The sequence below is a fragment of the Homo sapiens genome, chromosome 10 (assembly GCF_000001405.40).
Source record: "Homo sapiens chromosome 10, GRCh38.p14 Primary Assembly".
In the NCBI taxonomy this organism is placed as follows: Eukaryota; Metazoa; Chordata; class Mammalia; order Primates; family Hominidae; genus Homo; species Homo sapiens.
The window spans coordinates 59,357,050-59,381,353 of NC_000010.11; the positions used below are offsets into that span (position 1 = coordinate 59,357,050).

The window sequence follows — 24,304 nt, forward strand, 5'->3', positions numbered from 1 at the left end:
CTGAAGGCTGCACTGTTGGCTTCCCTACTTTTGAGGTTTTGGGACTCAAACTAGCTTCCTTGATCCTCAGCTTGCAGACGGACTATTGTGGGACTTCACCTTGTGATCATGTGAGTCCACTCTCCTACTAAACTCCCCTTCGAACATACATATATCCTATTAATTCTGTCTCTTTAGAGAACCCTGACTAATACACATGCCAAGTTCCTACTTTAACCTTAATTCATAAACATTTACTCTTCATTCTGAGGTTTTGGTAAACAACTATATCTCACCACACATCACTTGTAAACCTTTGTACCACTGAGATCTTTTTGATTAGTTATTAATTCCATGAGTAGAAATAACTGTAATTTATTTTCCTAGATATATTGCCACAGTGCCAGAGTACCCCAGAGACAGTCAAAAATACTTGAATTGAAATATTAACTTTGTTCCCTAAGAGGTCTGGTCTCTGAAATAATTTAACCAGCATTTATTGAGTATTTACTGAATCCAGGCACTGCATTAGACATTGGAACTGTGCTTCGCAAACTCTCAGGGCTTAGGACAGACCAGTTTGTTTTTTATTTTCACACCACTGTGGACAAACACTTTGGTAAAAATGTCACAGCAATGTCAAATTCCTATTAAAGTTATGAGATACTTACTCCCTATTTCTGTTTTTTATTCTTGTCTCAGACACGTTTTAAACAATTTGGAGACTCACATTTTATGTAGCACTGCTTCTAAAGGACACAAAATTTGAAAAAGATCTGAATCCTGCCCTAAGAAATTCACAATGTAATCAGCAGACAAAAATAAAGCAAATAAATGCCTGCATACATAAATATAACCATAATATACTGTTTATACTATATGAAATAATTTAACATTTTAAAGTATTCTTTACTGGCAATGGTGTATAATTAACCCACAGAATGAATCCAGTCCTCTTCCCTTAAAATCTTTAATTTATAGTTTTGTAGTGAGTTAAACAAAGGCCACCCACAGACTCTAACCCTTTCTACTTACTGAAATATTTTGTTACCTCTGGCAATTAAAAAAATTGGTTGCCCTGGTGCAGTGTCTCACATTTGTAATCCCAGAACTCTGGGAGGCCAAGGTGGGCCTGAGTTGGAAGTTCAAGACCAGCCTGGCCAACATGGTAAAACCCCGTCTCTACTAAAAATACAAAAATTAGCTGGGTGTGGTGGCACACACCTGTAGTTTCAGCTACTCAGGAGGCTGAGGCACGAGAACCACTTGAACTTGGGAGGTGGAGGCTGTAGTGAGCCGGGATCACACCACTGCACTCTAGCCTGGGCAACAGAGTGAGACTCTGTCTCATAAAAAAAAATGCTGCTTTGACTAGAATAAACCAACCTTCTTTACTTTCTTGCCAATAGTCCACTCTGTCCATCTCATGGAAAACAAATCCCCAAGTACCGCTTTGTTCCCCTTCATTAGCAGCATTCAGCTAATAGATCACCTGAGCTTTGTAATGTGGATAAAAATGTTTTTCAATAGCAAAGTAGCAACATCAATGAAGAACAAAAATCTAGAATTGTTGCTTTCAAAGATCTAGGGCTTAAGCAGAGCTTTGGAGCTTCAATTCTGGAGCTCAACAATACCTATTGTTTGGGGATTTGGCAAGAACTTATTTTTCCCCCTCATTTGATTTATTAATCTTTCTCCTCAAAGTACAATCAGTTAAAAATGGAAACTTGGCACCAAAACATACAAAGTTGGAGAAGATTCTGAAGTATGAAGCTGGAGCTGATTAGTTGATCCAATATTCATGTCTACTAAGCAACTCCAGTTGCCACTCAAAGAACACAATTCCAAGCTCACAGATAGAGCAACTGAAATAGAGCTACCTCCTGGCTTACATGGCACATGTTTACAACCTCTTTTAGTTCATTTGAGTTCTCATTTACCTTGGTAAAGACCATCAACTTCTATTCAATTAATAAATCATTTCTGTCCTTTCCCTGAAACCCCTTATTTCTTTGTGAAATGCTCAGGGTTGCTACTTTGCTTCCTATTTGAACTTTTGCTCCCTCAATCAGCCACAAACAAGAAAAAGTTGTGTGGTACTTCACAGCTCACCTGCTCTTTCACATAATCTCAATCCAGCCTGAGAATGCTCCAAGGTAGGAATTATCTTTGCACCTGGGCTAAGTTGTAAGTCAAGATCCCAAGGCCTCAATCGGTGAAGCCTGGATTGTTTCTGCTCCACCACATTAAGCCCAAAAAGCAAGAAACAAATAATCTCTTCAGTCTATATGCCAGAGGATCACAAGAGACAGGGCATGCCATTTCTTAGAATAATGGTGGTGAAAGAAATACCCACAAGAAGTTCTTTTTGCTGCCTAAAACAGAAGAGAGGCCTCAGACTGACTGTTAGATAAAATGTAGTTGTGCTATAAAGATATTTACACTTGCCCTGTAGTACCATGTTCCCTGAAGGCAAAGTTGCAGAGGTACAGCCTCCTGTGGGCTTTCTCAAAATGTGGCCCCTTGCATTAGCACTACCTGAAGTACCTGGTCAAAACAGAAGTCTCCAGCCCCACTACATCAACTCTCTGAGGGCAGAGCCCAGGAATGTGGATTTTTAAAACAGACTGCCTACCTATAGAACTACTATGTTTCTAAACATTTAACACTGACCTAAAGGTTTCCAAACCCCAAAACAGCACTGTCCTGACACCAATACAATCACCCATTCTGGGTTCCCACTTTGAGATAAAACCTGGGAGACTGCAATTTTCACAAGCTCCAGTCCCCTTCCCCAGTTGATATTGATGATCAGTTAGCTTTGAGAACCACTGGTTTGAATGATAACTAATCAGAATTATTGCAGGCTTCATTTAAAATAGCAAGTTAGCTGGGGCAATGTCACGATTGACCATGGAAAAATATTAGATGAAAAGGTGCCACAGATAGGGAAGAAAAGGCCAAGGCCATTGTGATGAAAACATTGGGGTGGAAAAAGAAATTGAATTTGTCTAGAGCTGCATAGATAGTGCCAGGGCTGGGAAAAACCAAGAAGAAAATAAAATCTGTCCTTGAGTCCCTCCCAATTTCCCTTTCCCCTTGACTCTTCTAGGACTCCCAGCTGGCCAAGCATAACCATAACCATAACAGGTTAGAAAATAGGTTAGGTAAAATAATTCATATTAAAGTATTCATGACAATTTGAATCCACTTCCCAAGGGCACAAACTTTTTAATTTCCAATTTAATAAGGGTCACTACCAGAGGCCTTCATCCAAAGAAATCATCTCTAGGTGAAATTTCAGGCATCGAAGAAAATAAGTGGGTGTGAGTAGAAGGATGTAGGAATGGGGTGGGGACAGGAGGCAGAGGAGCTCTTCTTGTATCCAGAACATAGAGGGGAGAAAAGTCCCTCCTCCGTGTAGGCCAAGACCACACCCAAACATTTCCTGAGAACCTGCTATGTCTGTGTCTCAGGATATAGCACCTTGGTCCTGAGGGCTATGGGGTCATGCCCAGAGAAGCACGGGATATGGGTCATATTACTGAGGTGAGGGGAAAATGTTATTGTGGCAATGACTAGTTTTAAACAGTCCTAGTCAATGATGTGTTATACCTATGAAGCTTTTGGTATGTTCTCAATAGGCTCCTTAGATTTTTATATTAGCCAAATGGCATACCAATTATCTCTCAGTGCCTTTTAAAATAAATCACTGTCACTCCTCTGAAAGTAAAAACATGATCTTATGCAATCAGAACTCCTTGGGGAGTGTCCAAAGACAAGGCACCAGGCTCTCCCCAGCATTTAACCACGAAACCTCTACAGAAAAAAAAAAAAAAAAAAAAAAAAAAGTCCACGTGAAATCTGGAGCTAAGTGTCTCCATTTTGAACCTGCCGTGCCTGTGACTGACCGAGGATTTGGCCACACCAGGCTCCTGAGAATCGGGGCCAGAAAGCACTTAGTACTTTAAGCACAGCAAAGGGAGGAGAGCAGTACCTGTGCACCTGGAGCAGGAAGTCCAGGCCTCATCTTCGGCCTGCAGATGCACACTTTGGCACACCTCTCTCCCCTTCTCTCAGGCCTTTAGAAAAGCAACATTGCAGCACAGGTTACCAAGCAATCTTATAAACAGAATGTGGGTCCAAATGAGTATTTTACATTGCTTCTTCTAAAGTCAATCCTGTTTTTTTTTTTAAGTGACTCCACTTAAGTCTGCTCAAAACTGGACACTAAAGGAGCAGCACAGCAAAAGAGAGAAACAAAAGAATGTGGAAAACAAGAGGGCCTAGGAAGCACTGTAAACCTTATCCCTCCCTCACCAAGTCATTGTGATAGTGGCAGGACTTGGAAGCCAAAAGCAAAACATTTATTTGCTTTTTAGGGAATTTTAGCAAACAGCTCCCCAGTTAGTTAAGCCTTCTACATCAAACTCATAACATTTTTTAAATGTAGTTGAGGATACAACTTTACACATGCCTTTTTCCTGAAAAGATGTTTAGAGTGGCTTCTACAAAGGTCCCAGAAGTAAACATCATGAATTAGCCTAGAGAAAGAATGCTAGATGAAGTACATATTCATATATATATATGTATATATAAATTACATACAGTATTAGCAAAATACACTACCTGTTAATTTTTAACAAATATAGTATAATATTAGGAAAACATTAAGGAAGGGATGTCAAAAATTAAAACTATAGCATATAAATATCTTTAAAAAAATACTGTGCTTGCTGGTACGCTCCTTCATTCACACTCCTTCATTCCATGTTTGAAGGGTGTTAGTTGCCCTAATCAACAGCTTTAACCATAGGACTAGGTGACTCATTCGTCCCATAGTCACATCTCTGTAGTCAGAAGACAAACATGACAAAGGGCATGCACAAAAAGTTTACTCTGATATGCCTTAAAAATCTGTAGACAAGAGAGGGCCAAGATAAGTTTAGCCTGTTTACCACATGCTGGAATTCAGCTCATTTCACATCTATCTTCTATTGCTGTAAATGTATATAGTGTGCACTCCATGAAAACTGACACCAATGTTGGCAAAATACAACAAAGCTTCCTAACACATCAAATGGATTTTTAAAAATCTGAGCTCCAAGAACACATATCTTGGAGCACTGAGCTCCTGCAAGCAATCAGCTGGTTTTAATTTCTCTCCCGCAGCTGCTAAAATGCTGGTTTCAACCTGTAAAGATTTCTGGGCCCCACCAGTCAGCACGTCTCACGGTCTTCACAGCCCCAGATTCCGGGAGACAATGCATCTAAAACGAACAGCGGCTGGGAACGGTGGAGGATACCTTCACGATAGTTGCTTCCAGAGAAAGGCATGCAAGTCTAATTTTAATGGTAAGAATCACTTACTCTGTTACAGTGGTGCTGCTGAAGGAATTATCCTGAAGGCTGAAACAGAAACAAGAAAACATCAGCCAAGTCTGGCCGGGGAGCCGTCTCCCTGATTGCTCTCCGGGAGTTAGAGCACATACACAAACATGGCATTGCAAGGCAAGTCTCCGGGCTCGCCCGGCACGCTCGCTCTACCTTGGGCTGCTGTCTGCACATGCTCGTAACGACACCCCCAGCAGGGGCCCAGCGGCACGGGCGAACCACAAAGCCCGGCAGCCCGCGAGGCTGCGGGGACAGAGCTGGGCGGGGCGCGGCGGCGGGGCTGGGACCCCGGGATCCAGCGAGGAGCACCTGGAGAGTTACCACACGACCCCGACCTCGCCAGCCCAGGCGCCGCGTTTAATCTTGGGCTCTTTGTGCCAGCCACCCCCCGAGGCTGGCAATGAGAATGCCCCAGTGTTTCTGCCGAAGTGCTGAAATACCCGGGAGACTTGCTTTCTTCCACATGTCTCCTACCAATTTTACAGAGCTCACCCCAACCCCCCACACTCCCACCCCACCCCCAGGGATGGAGGCTCGCAGAGATTCATCCATCGTTCAGAAAAAGTCAGGAGAGAACAAGAAGGGGGAGGGGGATATTGCTGCTGTTTGGTGTTTTATTTTGTGTGTGTGTTTTTTGTTGCCTAGGAAAAAGAATAGGCTCTAAAGCAGGGCTGGCTGCATCACACCTGATCTGTCTAGAGCGCTCTTATTTCAGTCCCAGAGAGGAAGCGCCCAGCCCCGGACTACAGAGCTGTGAATGAACCCACGCAGGGCGAGTGGAGAATTTATTCCAGGGGTTAGCTGGTGATTAGGACACCGTGCAAGGGGTGGGGCTTGCTATGCCTAGAGCAGCCCGCTTGAGCTCAGCTCCCTAGCTAGCACCTTTACAAAGGATGGAGAGACGGAATCCGCAAACGCTATCCCTTTGAATAAAGGCAGCCTTGTTAGGGAAAGGAAAGACTGTCAGTCCCCCCACTGGCTTCTTTCCCTTGGGGATATTTGTTCTGCCCTCTTTGTATTGTTCATTTCTCCTGCCATGTTGACCTGGATATGGGATGTAGCATCTATTAAAGATTCTTATTTGAATTTGAATTATTTTATTTGAATTTTGAAATAAGATTCCCATCCCCCTTTTTAATCTTTCTACTCCCAGAAGCAGCTAGGATAGTGGTTTTTAGTCCAAACCTATGTAAGTTAATGAGTTAACATAACAACAAAAAACTCATAATTTTTCTAATTGGGCAATTAAAAACTTTACCAAAACTTGGAAATAATGGGGAAGAGCATGACCTTTCAATGTCAAACTGAGACATCGGTTAACAAGTCCACCCAGGGGCCAGTTAATTCTCCAGTTGTGTTTGGCTTTGCTCTTCACTATTGATTAGATTCCAGCCACAGTGAAGTTCTGTGGTCACTTGCACATTTTATTCAGCCTGTTCAGAGAAAAAGATAATCGCAGCGTTTATGATTTTATTGCAATATAGGAAGATAACCAATTTTGCATCTAACCAAATAATCATTTTGCATCTAACCAAACTTTCTTTCTAAATACCTGTAAATCCACAGATCCTCAAAATGCTTTTGGAACCAGCTTCATCATCTTACAGTTTTCCCCATTAATAAGTGAATAGATCTCTGCTGCCTGCCTATGTTTGTATGAGAGTTGTATTTTAACTTTTTAAATTTATACCTTGAAAAATAAAAATTGAGTTTTCAAAGAAAAACAGGTTTCATTAAGGTTCTTTGCAATTTTGCTTTCCTCTCTCCAAATATTTTTAAAATCAGCTAAATAAAAACCTAATATGGTCTTAGACTGAATTCTATGGACTAAAATAAGTTCAGGAATATTAATCCTTTGTATGTATAACTATACAGTACATATTTGTTCCGAAGCCACCTACTATTTCATTTGAGCTAGGTTCAGGAGTAAGAGACATCGCTGCTTCACTGTATTCATTATTTAGCCATTTCAAAGTGAGATCTGTTCTTTGTTTATTCAGACTGATGAAGGTAAGTCTATATTCAGCCTTCTGACTGACTTATGGTTTCATAGATTACATGGTTGTTAATTTCCCATATGGTTGTTAATTTCCAGAAACCCCTTGTACTCATTGACTATGGTGTTTATTCCAAGTGTTCCAGTGTGGAGAAAGATCACACTTTTCTCCTATAAATACTCCCAGTGATCCACTTGTAATGGAAATGTTCAATGCTTTTAATTTGAAATAGGACTTGGACATTTAATTAAGAACAACCTTAATTAAATGGTTGATTTTCTTATATACTGCCAAATACTGTTTTTTTTTCATTCTATGAAATGAATTGGGCCCTTTGAAAATAAAATGAAATAACAAATGTACCCAATAAATGCAAGTATTCAATAATGTCCAAGGAAAAGAAATAAAAATTCTCAGCAACTCGTGAATAGGAAGGACCAAAATTAGGTTTTAGGCAGTACCCACATACAATGAAAACAACTGGTTGATACAGTTGATTATGGATAAAAACCAAAACATCCCTGAAAAAACATTATTTGGCAGTATATAACAAAATCAACCATTTTAATTTTTACTTCTCAATTAATTCTTATGACATTTGTTTTCATCTTAAATCAGGTTTAGAAATTGTCTTTGTAAGTGGCTTTTTAATTGGCTTTTATGATGTTTTGTACTGTTCAACTTGGAATAGGACAATACTGATGAATATCGTACAACATATGATTATTTTGGAGACCCTCAGCTTTACTAAAGAACAATTCCAGGAGGGTTTGAAAAGGGGAGCAGAAAAATTAATATTGAGTTTATGAAGAAGTAAGTTCTAGGCCAGTATTTCCCAAGTGGCAGTGAAATTCTAGTCTCCAGAAAATCCAGGAAAATGTTTTAAAAGTTACATGGTCAAAAATAAGTTTTGGAAAAGATGCATATTATAAATTCACAATGCACATTAGGTAGCAAAGAGAAGTTTTTCATCTGTTTTTAACAGTGTTCCTCAAATTCATTGAAGACCAAAATAATTTTTTGTTAAATATATCATCAATTAGCATCATGTATAACTAGGAATTTTGAGAAAATAACTCCTGAATATATCAGGAAAAAAATGCAAAGGGAATTAAGTGGTATATTTATTAAACGAATGAATGAACAAATGATTCTACATGCTTATCACTATCCCATAGTTATGAATAAGACAGACACAGTCCCTGACATCATAACATTTTTAATATAAATATATTGCATATTTATATATGTAAAATACATAATGTATATTATATGTACAATTCTATTGTATACAATATAAGTAAAATAAAGGAAAAATGAAGATGCTAGATTTGAATATGGTTAATTCACTTAACATGTTAAAAGTGCTCAATTTTAAATGCTCATTTTTCTATCAGTGCTCTAAAACCAATATCTGAATATCAGATCTAATACCAATAGTTTAGTTTAATTGTAAAATTGTTAATTCTAATGTATTGACTTGACTATATGCAAAATATAAAGCAACAGTGTAGAGGTCAAGAAAGAAATTTCCAGATTTGCCAAGACTCAAGACCCACCGCTTACTAATAGTTTAAACATGAACAACCTCTTTTGCCTCAATTTTCTCATCTGTAAAATAAAGATAATAATGACCTATTTTATGGGTTCTTATGAAGATTAAATTAAATGACATGCCTGACAAATTTAAAAAATAGTAAATAAATGCTGCTAATTATCCTTATTTTCATTAGTATTATTATAATAAATAAGAATATATAAACAAAGCTTGAGACAAGATGAACAATGCCACTGTGCTTGAAGAGGAGGCTTACAGATGATATTTTCTTTCTACTTCCTATGATGGCGCAGTGTTTACACAGCTTTTTTTTTTTTTAAGAACAATAAAATTTAAAACTTTACTAAATGCGGATGGGCTGCTCCGGATGAAATGGGTTTCATCCAGATTGGCTTTGTGCTCAGTTTACAACTCTTCAATTTAAAATACTTGCGCATCCCTGGAGGAACAGACAATTCTGAGAAATCACTTTCTGCAAGATGCTGGGGCAAGAAGCCAGAATCTTTACAATGCCAGGAAATCAACAGAGGCCTGCTCTATTGGCCTGGACAGAGTGACTTGTAGCTTCCTGTCAGTACCCTTGGGAATGACCAGGCTTCCTTGTGAAAGAGAGGACTCTTGCCTGAAGAGATAATTTTTTTTCCACAAAAAAAGAAAAAAAAAAAAACTTCTTCCCATCCCTGTCCCCTAATCTATTTCTTCACCAGCTCCAATGAGGACAGCATATCAAGAGTCCTTATTATCTGAGTGGTCAGTAACTGAGCTCCTGAAGATTCAAAGGTGCCCAGGGAAGCAAAGCTGTGATACCAAAAACATGTACTAGCGACAGACTGTTTGTGATATTGGTCTTCATCCAAACAACCCTCCCCAATTAATGCTAGTGTACATCAAGTCCATCTTTGGCAATCTCTCTCTGATTTATCTGACAATAAAATGCAGATGCAATGTAAATTGATTGATAAGTGAAATTTCAATTTTTTACAAAAGAGTCAGGATTTCTTGAAGCCAGTGGAAGTGATATTGCAGAACAGCTTGAATCACATTAAAAACCAGTGACAAGTGAGGTATTGGCAGTAACAACCAAAGAATAAAAATTGACAAGAATGCTGAGATGCCAATTCCAAAAGGAATTAATCAATTATCAAAGGATTAAGAGTGGCCCTTGGAAAAATTTATGGAGCCCTTAATTAATTTTGTAATTTCCCTTTTTATAATAATGTAATGAGTATCAAATGTGATGTGAAGATTATCACTTTGAGCTATTAATGTTTTTGAGAAAAATATGTATAACCCCTCCAATAGGTAAAATTTAGTCTCTATGATTTTTAAGAATTGGTTCACTATTTGAATTATACCCAGAATATAAAATAGTAATATTTCTATAATTTCTTTACCATTTACCATGGCCTCTCAGGCCCTATGTGCTCTGGCCCTGGAGACAACTGAACTTATCTCCAAAACACTGGCCTCTCTCCTGTTATTATAACAGGTGCACCTGATCCTGCCCTAGGACGTTTGCACCTGGGAACACCACCTGTAATATGCACAAACGTCCTCCCCTGGGGAAAACTAACTCCCTAAGTTAGTTTCTCCTATCATTCTATTCTGCTTTATCTTCTTCATAGGATCTGTCCCTACCATATATTTAATAGCTATTTGTCTATTTGTTGTATACTTTCCCCCCTCCACTAAAATGTAAGCCACGCTTGTGCAACCTGGGGCCCGGGACTGCTCTGAATCCAGCCCAACACAAATTGGTAGACTTTCTTAAAACATTGAGATTTTTTGTGATTTTTTTTAGCTCATTTGCTATCATTAGTGTTCGTGTATTTTATTTGTGGCCCAACACAATTCTTCTTCCAATGTGACCCAGGGAAGCCAAAAGATTGGACACCCCTGGTTAAGCTCTTTGAGTAAAAAGACTTTTGGGCCTCATTCACTAGTATATCCCCATGGTCAACAATAGTGTCTACCAAGGTAGCTATGCAATAAATATTTGCAGAATAAAATTAATGAGTGAATATTTAGTTTCACTTTCAAGATAATACTTCATTCACCCCCTTTTTTTGTTTCTATTATCTAGGAAATGTTAGCTCCTGATTAAGGGACTCATTGTAAGTGAGGTTTTTCCAAGACACTTTACCTTCAGGTAATGCACTCCTATATCAGACATTCCTTCCTTTCCTTTGCAGGGATAACAGATAGATCTCCTGCTGTTGTGCCAACCTGATTGATGATACTGGCTGCACAGAATGTTGTCTATTTCTGAGGTGTGGTCCCAGTCCAGCCAGAAAGGGTACTGGGATTGACTGTTCAGCAATGTTTGCAGTGGAAGCAGAATGTGGGCATGTTGGTGGAATTGCCAACCTAGAACACCCTATTAAAAGAAAAAATTTTCTTGGGAAAAGCACAGTTGGTTGTCAACACCTTGGTTTGAATTAATTTTCAGATAATCAAATACATCCTTGCTACTGATGTGATTCTTTAGAACCTTGGGAGTTATCTAGTTTAATTATTATTTTTTATTTTTATTTTTGAGACAGAGTCTTGCTCTGTCGCCAGGCTGGAGTCCAGTGGCAAGATCTCGGCTCATTGCAACCTCCAACTCCCTGGTTCAAGCGATTCTCCTGCCTCAGCCCACCGAGTATCTGGAATTACAGGCACATGCCAACGTGCTCAGCTAATTTTTGTATTTTTAGTAGAGATGGGGTTTCACCATGTTGGCCAGGATAGTCTCGATCTCCTGAACTTGTGATCCTCCCGCCTCAGCCTCCCAAAGTGTTAGGATTACAGGCGTGAGCCACCACACCCGGCCTACTTATTTTTTTAATACCTAAACTTCCAGGACAATCTCCAACTGTTGCTTGAGACCTTCAGAGGCCAAAAATTCACACTTTGGAAGCTCTTTTATTGGATCCTTCAAATCTTGAAAAAAAAAATCCACATAAACCTTCCCCTATCTCTTGTTACTTTCACCTGTGGCTTGAATGTCCCTCATATCCCAGCCGAAGAGATCCAATTCCTTCAGTAGAATCTCATATGACATCACTTAGAAGACCTTCAGCATCATGTGTAGCCCCGGGTAAAGTGTGATAATGTCCTCTTAAAGGGCAGCCCTACACTGAACATATTACTCCAGGTTGTGGTCTGTTCAGTGAAGAGTAAAACAGAATTTGTGTCTCCGTCTTCTTAACATTATACTTTTCCATGTGGCCCAAGATCATTGTGAATGGTTTGGGCAGTTATGTCATAAGGCAGACCCAGATTATCAGAGTCCGCCGACACCCCAGAGCCATACCTGTGCTTTCCAGAAGGCAAGCAATTGGTTTGTTGAGCCTAAGTGCCAGCTTTATGTATATTCCTTTGAAATTCTATATTGTTTGATCTGACATTTTATACTATTAAATACAACTTTTCAGATCTTTTAGAATACACATTTTAGCCAAAATTATGTCGGCTAGCCCTTACAGTTTCATAGAATCAATGTTATATGAAAATAGTCCTTCAAAAAGTTCAGGTATATAATAAATACACTTTTTTTTTTTTTTTTTTTTTTTTTAGACGGAGTCTCGCTCTGTCGCCCGGGCTGGAGTGCAGTGGCCAGATCTCGGCTCACTGCAAGCTCCACCTCCCAGGTTCACGCCATTCTCCTGCCTCAGCCACCCGAGTAGCTGGGACTACAGGTGCCCGCCACCACTCCCAGCTAATTTTTTGTATTTTTAGTAGATACAGGGTTTCACTGTGTTAGCCAGGATGGTTTCGATCTCCTGACCTCGTGATCTGCCCACCTCGGCCTCCCAAAGCGCTGGAAATACAGGCGTGAGCCACTGCGCCCAGCCAATAAATACACTTTTATTCAATTCATAATTTTTTTTGCTTATATCAATCAGAAAATATCACATAATTATTCACTATATTAAAATTTAGAAAGTTTAAAATTATTTTACTTTAGGGGTGGTAGGTGGGAAAAGAAGCAATGAAAAAGGGGCTTAAACCCAATATCTGAGGTGCTGCTAGGATGAGAGTAAAATTGAGGCTGCAGGGTTACATGTGACATCATGAAGGCACAAAATGCCTCAAGGTGGGAGTGGCATTTCCATCCTCTTTATCATACTCTTTCTCCCAGCAAAGTGGTAATAGTTGAAGCTCTAGTCTAACACAGATAGCAATTTAACAAGTCATGCAGTTGAAAGACAGTCTCACACCTGTGTGGGTGTAAGTCAGGACACATCCTAGGTGTCTGGGCCCCATTCAGCCAAATATTCCTTAATCTTAGAAGGAGAAAGTTTAATTTATCCCCCAAATTTCTCCTGTACCTTCAAAGAGAAGTTTCTAAATTTTTCTTTCTCATTCCATGATTGCATTTAATTACTCTGTTTTTAAATCTTGATAGCATCCTCTTTCTTTACACATTCTATTTGAGCTTTGGCCTAAGTAAATGTGCCTATGTTTTCACTGGTAATCTCCTTACATAAATGCCTTTGTCTGCTTACAATATGATAATCTACATCTCTTTAAAATGCTCAACCTCTGAACATTATTCCTGTTATATATTGTATTAATGACCTTAAGTCATTAATTACCATTTTATTACCATTAACAGCCATTTTATTTTGTTCATGATTGTGAGGGTCAGGAATTCCCAGAGAGTTCAGCTGGACACCTCATCTCTGATCCATGTGGTGACATCTGGGACAGGTGCAACCAGAGGACCACCTTCCAAAAGGGTTTCTTCACTGAAAGAGCCAATCACTCAATGCTCCCTGCAGGGCCTGTCTCTCCACATGGAATCTTATCCTTCAGGGCCTCTCCATGTGCCTTGAACTTCTCACAGCATAGTGATTTTAAGGCAATCTACCTTTTTAAATAGCAGCTGATGCACAAGAGACCAAGGCAGAAGCTGCCATTTTACTTAAAGGCTTGACCTAGAACTGGTGTAACATTACTTCTGCCATACTCCACTGGCCAAAGCAGATAAAAGTCAGCTCATATTCAATGGCAAAATAATAGACCCAACTTCCTGATGAGAAGAATGTCAAAGAATTTGTGACTATTTTTAATCTGCTACAGAAGTCTACAATGATGCATCTAGGAATTGTTATCGTTGGTTTCCTTATCCTTAGGGTCATGATAGCAAAGGGTCATGATAGCAAAGTCATAGTTACACTTTTCATTTCAATGGACAATTAATCTATACATTGTGGTCACCTATATATACCAACATGCATTGCTTAACAATGGGCATATAGTCTGAGAAATACATTGTTAGGCAATTTTGTCATTGTGTGAATTAATATCATAGAGGGTTTTCATACAAACCTAGATGATGTAGTCTACTACATACTAGGCTATGTGATGTAACCTGTTTCTCCTAGGCTACAAACCTGTGCTGCATGAAACTGTTCCAAACACTGTAAGCAACTGGAACACAGTGATGAGTGTTTGTGTATCTAAACACAGAAAAAATACAGTCAAAATACAGAATAAAGACTTTTAAAAATGGCATACCTGTATAGGGCACTAACCATGAATGGAGCTTGCAGAGGTAGAAGTTTCTGAGTTAGTCATGAGTGAATGGTGAGTGAATGTGAATGCCTAGGACATTCCTGTACACTACTGTAGACTTTCTAAACACTGCACACTTAGGCTACACTAAATTTATTAAAAATAGTTTTCTTTCTTTCATAAAAAACTAACCTTAGCATACTGTAACTTTTTAACTTTAAATTTTTTAACCTTTTGACTCTACTGTAATAGTACTTACCTTAAAACACAAATATATTATACAACTGTACACATTTTCCTTTTTATATAGTTATTCCATAAGCTTTTTTCTATTTAAAATTATGGAGTTTTTTGTTTTTAAACAGTTTTGTTAAAAGCTAAGGCACAGACAAAGCAGTAGCCTAGGCCTATGCTGTGTCTGGATCATCAATATCACTGTCTTCCACCTCCACATCTTCTACTACTGGAAATTTTTCAGGTGCAAGAACATGCATGGAGCTGTCATCTCTTATGATAACAATTTCTTCATCTGGAATGCCTCATGAAGGAATTGCCTGAAGCTTTTTTTATGGTTACCTTTTTTTTAATAAGTAGAAGGAGTACGCTCTAAAATAATGATCCAAAGTATAGTAAATACATAAACCAATAACATAGTTATTTGCTATCATTATCAAGTATTATGCACTGTACATAACCATATGTGCTATACTTTTATATGACTAGCAACACAGTAGGCTTGTTTACACCAACATCACCACAAACACATGAGTAATGTGTTGCAAAATGCTGTCACCAGGCAATAGGAATTTTTCAGCTCCATTATAATCTTATGGAACCACCATTATTTACATGGTCTGACATTGACCAAAATATCATTATGTGGCCCATGACTGTACATGTATGGAAGTATGTACAGATGAATGAGTGGATAAAAGAAATAGTTATTAAGAAAAGAGGCAAATTTCTGGTATCCCCAAGAATTTAAGTCTGACTACTTAATTTGGCTAATTCAAGCAACAGTATTCAACAGTGTTATTTCAGTACCCTGGCATGCCATGATTAGCTCAAAGGTGTATTACAACTTACAAGTCATTTGTCAAATATTAGCATTGGTGAATAATTCTATAGCTAAATAATAAAGTAGAGCAGATCCATGTTTTTCTCTACAAGAGCATCACTCTCCTTCACATGCATTCCTAACTGCATTCTTCAGTGGATATTAAGGGGTGGAGTTGTTGCAGCTCTTCCACTGAGAACTGCTCATAACTCTGGTGTACTGATGGAAAACTTTCACACCCAGCCATCATCCGTCTTGTATGACTTGGAGAAGAAAAAAAGAAAAGATTAAAAGCTCATAGCTTAGAGAATATTACCAAAGGAGCCAGTATGAGTTAGCTAGATAAAAGCTGGATAAAATCTAAATATGAAGCAATCTTGAAGTTTGTTTTGCTCAGTAGCAATAGAAAAAAAAATCTTATAGGCTTGTCCTACCTTCTGTCTTCTGCCTTTCTCACTTTCCCCCAGATCTTTCCCTAGTGAGTCCACAAATTTGGGTTAACAAAACTTAGTGAAATATACCAGCTACCAATCATACTGGAAAAATAACTCAAAGTCATACTTTGCTAAGGTTGGGTCCGGAATACTGTTTCCTAATACTGAAAACAGAAGATGTATTTATATTTCCAGAAGCATAATGTCTAACTCCACAACTATTTCTAATGACTAAGCATATATTACTGTAAAATAAAATTTGCCCTTATCACCTTCTTGAGACGATGAGTGGGCTCTGTCTCTCATGGACCTTGTGAGCTGCTTTTCACTTGTAGGTGGTTTACACACATATAGAGAAAGCATCATTCCCTTGGGCCCTGAAGCAGTAGGGGCTGCTGCATTTCTATATTTGGCATCAGTCCTCAGTGCAGGATTCAACTCAGGTCACTGCTGGGCCTGCCGTCACTGGGCTTGACTTTGTACAGAAACCAACTAATGTCTTAATAATCCTCAAGAAATCATTAAAAATCCATGTGTGATGTTGTGACTTTCAATCAAATAGTAAATATCAGGTTCTAGAAGCAGTAGGACATAAATGACTGCAACAAAATTGGTCAGAAATGGTCAGTCTCCTAGGCAAAAATAGAATATTCAGAATCAACCTATAAAGAAATATAAATTATTTTAATATGTGCAAAACCTGTTAGAGATAGTTTTCATCTAATAAATAAAATGCTGAAATCGTAAAAGCCTAGAAAGAAGCATAATATAAGGAGAAATACTCAAGACAGAGAGTTCTGGGCCTAGAAGCTGCCTCAGCTGTACCATTAACACACTTGACCTTACATGGTGAGAGGCTAAACTTCTCTGCACCTCAGTGTCCTAAAATATGAGACAGCTAAACGGGATCTTTAATGACTTGGCCAGCTTTAAAATTCTGTTATTGGTGGCAGGGGTGAGGGGATATAAAAACAAAGTCACATGGCCCATGTTGAAAAGGAAAAAAGGAAGAAAAAAAGGAAGGAAGAGGTGGAGGAAGGGAAGGAAAGGAAAGGAAAGGAAAAGAAAGGAAAAGAGAGGAGACTAAGAAAAACTGCTTATGTATATGGGGAAAAACCTTTGAAGTTAAAACTCTGTCTAGATAATGACTACATCAACATAATAAATGACTCAATGAAAGTGGTAAAGAACTGGCCATTCAATTGATGGCCTTACAGTACTACTAAACATTCATTGGCTCATTATACAGAATGTTGGCCTGTGAGTTCTACCTATGAACTTCTAGGAAGCATCAATAATTCAATCAAAAATCGTATTCTATTTTTGCAAATAACATGGGACTATTTCAGTACTATTTGCTTCAGTTTTCCACTGAGGGACTTGAATTTCTGCAACATTATGGATAAATTGGTTTCTGTGGGTGCCTGACTACGTGTGACTCCATATCCACAAGTTATTTTTATGGGAGGGAGCTGAAGGGACTAACATGGCATCTCTCTTCCATTATAATCACTGAAGGTCTGTAAGTAGAAGTGGAGGGGCAGAAGAGTTTGGAGCCTACCGAGATTAGGGAAAAGGCTCAGAAGAAGAAACTAAACTGAGAGGTATCAAAGACTATGAGGAAAGAAGTGATAGGCAAATTATGTGTGGAGGTTAAAAAGCAATGGGGGTTCAATGGAATCATTGTATAAAAATAATATGTAATAAAATAAAATAAAGAGGCAATGGAGGTATCTGGATATCTGGATTTCCAATCAGACCCTGGGATTCTCCAAACTGCCTGGCTCCTATGTTGTTTCATGTAGTAAGAATCCCCTGGTCTTACCTATTTGTTATCCACCTTCTTCCTACCATCATAAGAAGTAACACTGTGGAAAAGGATTCACTTCACATGGTCCGGGCTTTGGAATGAACACTGTCCACTGACTGACAGCATGTGCTCGTAAGAATGGTGGTGTAGACTGGGGTCTGCCTTGCACCATTCATGAGCAGCCAGGGAGACTTTGTTGTGCTGTATTTTGTCAAAAATTGGGTTGGGAGTTTCATGTTCATATTCCTTAAATTGAAGGAGACCATGTCATGGGCCTTAGGAAGCTGATGCCAGGGCTACATTTTCCAGTCTGTTTATCACATTGTCTGAGCTCTCATCACTCACTCAGCAGCTCCTTTCCTTGGCCTCCAGCCCAGCTAAGTTTTAAATCAAAGTTTTTAGGTTTTTTAAAAAAACTTTTCCAACATACACAAATCTAGAGAATAATATGATAAATCCCCATATGCCTAACACCTAGCTTCAACAATTATCAGCATTTAGCCATTCTTTTGCCAACTGCTGGCTGCCCCAAAATATCATCAAAGCCAACTGATAAGACAAAGCTGAGTTTATTACGATCTGATAAAGGATGATACTGTCTTGCCAGAGTTTTAATACCCTCTTGAAGTGAGGGTGGCAAACTTGGCATATATATGTGGTTTTGGAGTCTGATTCAAGGTGGATCTTTCAATGAAAGGGGAACATGATTAGGATTAAGTAAGGATAAAGATAAAATAATTTATGACCTGTGAACACAACAAGATGAAGATTTTCAAGGTGAGGATTTTGAGGTAAGTGATTCGAAAAGTCTTGGGGTATAAATACTGGCTTGGTGCTATTTGTTGGAGAGTTCAGTGTTCAGTTAAAAGGGTTTTATGGGAAGTTCCTGAAACAAACAATATGCTTATTTACACATATCTTCCTGGGCAAGAGTACTCTGGAATAGTAAAATCAGATTGATGAAGGCAGTGGAATGGTAAAGTCATATTAGTGTAGCAGCTAAATAGTAAAGTTATGTTAATGTATGCATTAAGTTTTTTGGGTGTATGTGGTTTGGGTTCTCAGTGTCATCTAGCCCCCCACTCACATTTATTGTTCTTGTTATTCCCTAAAATAGTTTAATTTATTGTTTATTTTTAAAAGTTGCCAATGGTATCCAGGTTATAAACACACTCTGTAACTAGGTAAAATCTCTAATAACCAGAAACCTCATATACATTCTATTTTGTCTTATATTTTCAGTTGTTCTGTTCTTTGCTTTATCAGGAAAGCCAAGGAAATAACTCTCATGCTAAAAATTCACTGTCGGACGCTCTGGAATAAAAAAAAAAAAAATGCTGAGGACTATTCAGAATCTCAAAGAGCTCTAAACAGAAATCATTGCCTTATTAGGCAAACAGCCAGTCTAAGCCATGATAACAGGAGCAGAGAGTCAGCAAGTTCAAGTTCAATGTGGGCTTTGTGGGGAGCATGCTGAGTAAAGTCAGCTCCTCTTTAGTAAATTAAGCCATTCTTCTGAAGGAAAAAAAAATGCCTTAAAGAATATATATCGTGGCTTTTGACATCCATTCCTTTGGGGTTAGTAAAAATATAAATGTATTCAGGCCACAAACATTAATTAAGCATGCTCTAAATGCAGGGCAAAGAGGGAAAGGTCAATGTTTCTGAGAAAATCCTGTCTTGGTGGAAAAATCACCACTTTTGAAATGATACCTGCATGAGAATCTTGAAGAAATTACTTAGCATCTAATTTCTTAATGTCTTTAAATTTCGAAATTTACTATACACAAACTCGCAGGCCTTTAAAGACAGGAAGAAGAAATGCACATATGGAGCCTGGCATCTAGAATGCATTATTGTTCCAACTGCAATCTCTGCCCTTGAGGAGACTTTGCAAAGTGTCAAAAATAGAAGGGCAGAACAGCAGGTTGTATTGGAGTCCAATCATCTAGGGTCCACAATGCTATGTCTGATGTATTTTGTGCATTGGTGAATATTTCTGAGTGGGATTCTAGAATGATAAGAACCATGCTCCAGGAGTATGACTTTGACTGCCAGTGTCACTTATGGGCTCCCAAAAGGGGTTCTGTGCTGGGCCCCAGGCTTTAAAGGACCATTAGCAAACACATGGTGGCTGTCTTTCAGGACCTGGTCTCAGCACTGGTTGAGTGTGACTCACAACTGTTGTGTCTAACACCGCCTCTGTCTCAGAGAGACATTTATCCTCATTGTTGCCTTATATACTTGAAAAGAAAGGTGACTGTGTCCAAATGCCCTCGTGGTTTGTGTGGCATTGCTCCAGAGAGCTAGGAGAATTTGAATGACAGAACAGCTTAGGTAAGAGAAAAGATAAATTAGTTAACCTGTCAATCCTTCCTCTCAGAGAGCATGAATGCACTAAACTCTTGCATAACGAAGTATTTCCCAGGAGGGCTGAATATCCATTTTGCCTCTCTTCTTTCCTATTCATAGTTCTAGAAGTATTCAAAAATTAGTAATGTATTTGCAGCTGAGGAATATTTTACAATATGAAACAATTCATACAACTCTAAAATGTGTATTAGATTGAACCATTTAAAAGTATCCAGTTTTTTGTACATCAACCTGCATGGTTCAAACACACACACATACACACAATCTTTTATCAAAAGACATAACATGCATGAATCCTGATAACAATCCTTTATATTCCTGTATAGGTCCAAAATTGCTTTAAGAGATAGTAAAATTGAGGATTATGTGTTAGGGATATATATAATTAAGTTAAAGTATTTTGTAATATTTTCTGCAATCATGTTTTACCATATACAATCCTATTACAATATTTGAACATGATATGTAAATTCATGACTTTGATATGGTACATAAAATTCATTATTACTTCCAAATCAAAATATTGCTTTAAGAATTTTTTTGACAATCCCAGTTGCTATTGTTTTAGGAGAATGAGGTTTCTCTAAAATGAAATTAATAAAAAGCTATCTAAAAACTATAATGATTCAAAAAATTGGCATTGCTGGGAATAGACTACAAATCATTTAAAAATCTTGATTGTAACAATACAATTATTTATTTGGTTAAAGTAAAAGCAAGAGATGAAAATCTTATGAGATAAATATAAAATAATTTATATTTTGCTACTAGTACAAACACCACTAGCCCATTCAAAGAACAACCTTATAAATGCAAAAGTAAATTCAGTCATCTTTGATATTTTGCCATATTTCATTCTATTAAAACTATAATTTAAAAGGTAGTCTAGATTTGTCATAATGAAGATATATTTGCCACAGTAGGAGGATAGAACAGATTTTTACTTAACAGTTTGTTAACTCGCTTTATAACATTTAAATATCTGTACTTTCACTCCAGGGCCCTCAGATGCTAGGTGCAGGCCTGTTTCCAGCAATATCTTCATTCATTAACAGCAATTACTCATTGGCACCCATGACATGACAAGTAAATTGGAACTAATAAATATTTAAAGGTGATTAGGCCATAGAAGAGGCTTCTGTAATAGTCTTTAACTCAAAAAGCCAAAGAGGCCAGGCAGGTGTCATAAACAAGTGGAGCCAGTGAGGAGGAAGATATTAGGGAGTGGTGGTGACTATGATGAACAGGGCAGAGTTTGTGTTGCATCAAATAGGGACACCTATTGCTCAGGCTCAGACCATTGTTGCCACACGGGAATGTGGGGCAAGTCTTGCCAAAGCTTATGCTTTAAAAACAAAAAAATCTAGAAATATGGATATTTTTGTATAAAATCTCTCAGTTTGAAATAAAAATGTAAAACTATGTAGAATGAACTAAATGTGTCTGTAGGCTAGATTTAGCCAATAAACTAACACTTTGCCATCTCTACTATGGATTAAGGTAACAAGAATATGAACTAACACTTGCCTTGTACTCTTTTTCCATTTCTCATTTGTTCTCACTGAGTATTTGTTATTGTGTTCTGCTCTTCCCTTTCTCCTTCCTCCTTCCCCTCATCCTCTGCCCTTCTCTGACTCTGTTTCTTCCTCTCTTCTCCTCTTCTCTCTCCTTCCCCAATTTGGCTTTCTCTGTTCATTGTGAAATATGGCAGCCACATACATTGTCATTTCAGTCCCAATTAGAAAGTAACTAGCTAAGGAGAGAGAAGTCTCCATGCACCATGCGTGTGAAAAGGAAGAGGAGTTCCTAGATAACGTGGTTTGAGCATCAAAGGTTTCCCCCACAGGATGGTGGCAAATTGACTGATCTAAGATTAAATTGCCTTAAGGAGGCATATTTGGAAAAAAAAAATCAAAGTAACTTTTTGTACCCAAATGACCAAATATATTCTATTTCTCAAGTTTACTATTTTTTACACAAAGTTGCCAAACTTCTCAACCTCCACATGCTCATATTGGAATAACAAAAGCCAACTTGGGATATTAACAATTATTTTTATTTATATGTGTATGTACTACACAGCATGTAATATAATTGTTGCATACTCTCAGAGCTTATGTTACATATCTGAGAAGACTTATTTTATTTTTATTTTTTGAGACAGGGTCTTGCTCTATCACCCAGGCTGGAATGCAGTGGAGTGGCACTGTCATAGCTCACTGCAGCCTCCTAGGCTCAAGCCTGGGCAAGTGATCCCCTTGTTTCAACCTCGTGAGTAGCTAGCACTATGATTACATGCCACCATGTCCAGCTATTTAATTTTTTTTTTTTTTTGTAGAGGTAGTATCTTGCTGGTCTCAGTCTGGCTTCCATCCTCCCACCTAGGCCTCCCAAAGTGTTGGGATTGCAAGTGTGAGCAACTGCACCCAGACAGAGAAGATTTATTCTGTGTGTTTATGCCTGGCAGAGCTGAGTACATTTAGAGCTAGATTCTGTGTATTAACGCAGCTACTCCCACACAAAGGCAAAGGAATAGAAAGCAACTGGGGCAAGAAGAAAAAGGTGCTAAGAAAATCATCACACAAAACCTAGCAAGAGAATTAGTAAACTAAATACCACTGGTCCTACAGTCTAGCCACAAAAGACTAAATAGGATAGGCAAATTGCATTTTGCTTGATGTTCCAACAATTGACTTTTTCAAATCTATCTCCCCAATTCTTTCTCTGAAATCTTCATTTCCACTGTTTGTAGTAGCTTCATTTCTCTCCCCTAAGCAGCTTTTCATAGATCAGATATTTAAAATGTCAAATAATATTTAAAACAGCAAACATTTAAACATAAAATATACAATCTGTAGAATGACATCAGGAATTACAGTGTCTTGAATCACAATCCCGGAATGACTGGTCCTGCTTTAAGCAAAAAGTATATGGAATCAGAAAGTAGAGGTATCATTGTCTCCCTCATCTTTTCCAGTTAACCATTTTACAGTCTCCCTCATCCCCTTCAGTAAATCAGGAGATTCTACCACATATCTGTCTGGCATAAATCTATCTTGCTATAAATTTACATCATTTATTTTATTCAGCTTTAATTGTAGGTAGAATATGGCTTATCATCATTCTACAACACATTTTTGGTAGGTGAATGCTATGAATTAAATACTCAGTGAATTTTAGAGCTGTAAAGTCCTTAGACAGCAAATCCTCCACATTTTATAGATGAGGAGCCTAAGGTCCAAACGTATCAATTGACTTACCTAGGATCAAAAAGCTAGTAACTGGTGGAGACTGGGCTTAGATTCAGACCTCATTAGCTTTAATACCTTCCTACTATTTCGTACTAATTTTTTTAGCAAGGTGAATAAACCCCTGTGATGCTTAACTTTATGTGTCAACTTGACTGGGCCACTGGATGCCCAGATATTTGGTCACAAATTGTTCTGGATGATTTTACGAAGGTGTTTTTGGATGAGATTAACGTTTATATTGGTAGATTTTAACATTAATTTAGATTAACATTTTAATCAGTAGAGTAAGCAGATTACTATTATATAATGTGGTTGGCCTCATCCAGTTGAAGGCCTGAATACAACAAAAACTCAGATCCTCCCCCAAGTAAGAAAGGTTTTCCCCACAGACTGCCCTCAGACAACTGCAAACATCAGCTCTTTTTGCCTGATGGCCTTCAAATTGGAATATCAGTTCTCTGTGTGTGTCCCATACCAATGGCCCACTCTGCAGATGTTGAACATAACAGCCTTCATAATTGTGTACAGCAATACCTTATCATTAATCTCATTATGTGTGTGTGTGCATGTGTGTTGTTTTTCTGGAGAATCCTGACTAATCTAATCCTCTTCCCCCAAATGTTTCAGAATGGATTAATTTCCCTACACAATACTCAACTTCATGCCTCTTTTATCTTTTTACATTTTCTAAATTTCTCATATTACAAAGTTTCAAATTAGGCAGAAGTATCTTGTGTCAGACTGAACCTTGTATGCTAACTTGGATCGACTTGACTCCCCCTGCTTTCAGGGCAACATCTGCCTTCCGGACCACACAATTACTGCTGCTATCACTAAGGTCTTTGAGATGGAAGGTGTGAGTTAAATTCTTGGGCCTCCATGGCCCTTATGTTCCTCATGCCAGATGACCCCTGTGCCTCAGGATGCAAATGCCTAAGTGGCTTCC

The 24,304-nt window shown here is 38.3% G+C and overlaps 1 protein-coding gene and 1 long non-coding RNA gene across 22 annotated transcripts in view; one reads left to right on the forward strand and one right to left on the reverse strand.

Annotated features, from left to right (window-relative positions):
• FAM13C (family with sequence similarity 13 member C) overlaps positions 1 to 6,132 on the reverse strand; it is a 117,053-nt gene extending 110,921 nt beyond the window's left edge. For 7 of the 21 annotated variants that reach the window (XM_005269619.5, XM_005269618.5, NM_001001971.3 and 4 more), the window contains exon 1: positions 5,350 to 5,500. In XM_005269619.5, coding sequence (XP_005269676.2) covers positions 5,350 to 5,411 — 62 coding nt within the window. In that variant the 5' untranslated portion in view covers positions 5,412 to 5,500. 21 annotated transcript variants of the gene reach the window in all.
• Positions 4,850 to 6,465, forward strand: LOC124902428 (uncharacterized). Its single transcript, XR_007062148.1, has 2 exons — positions 4,850 to 5,334; positions 6,019 to 6,465. It is a non-coding gene; the product is annotated as an uncharacterized LOC124902428 (long non-coding RNA).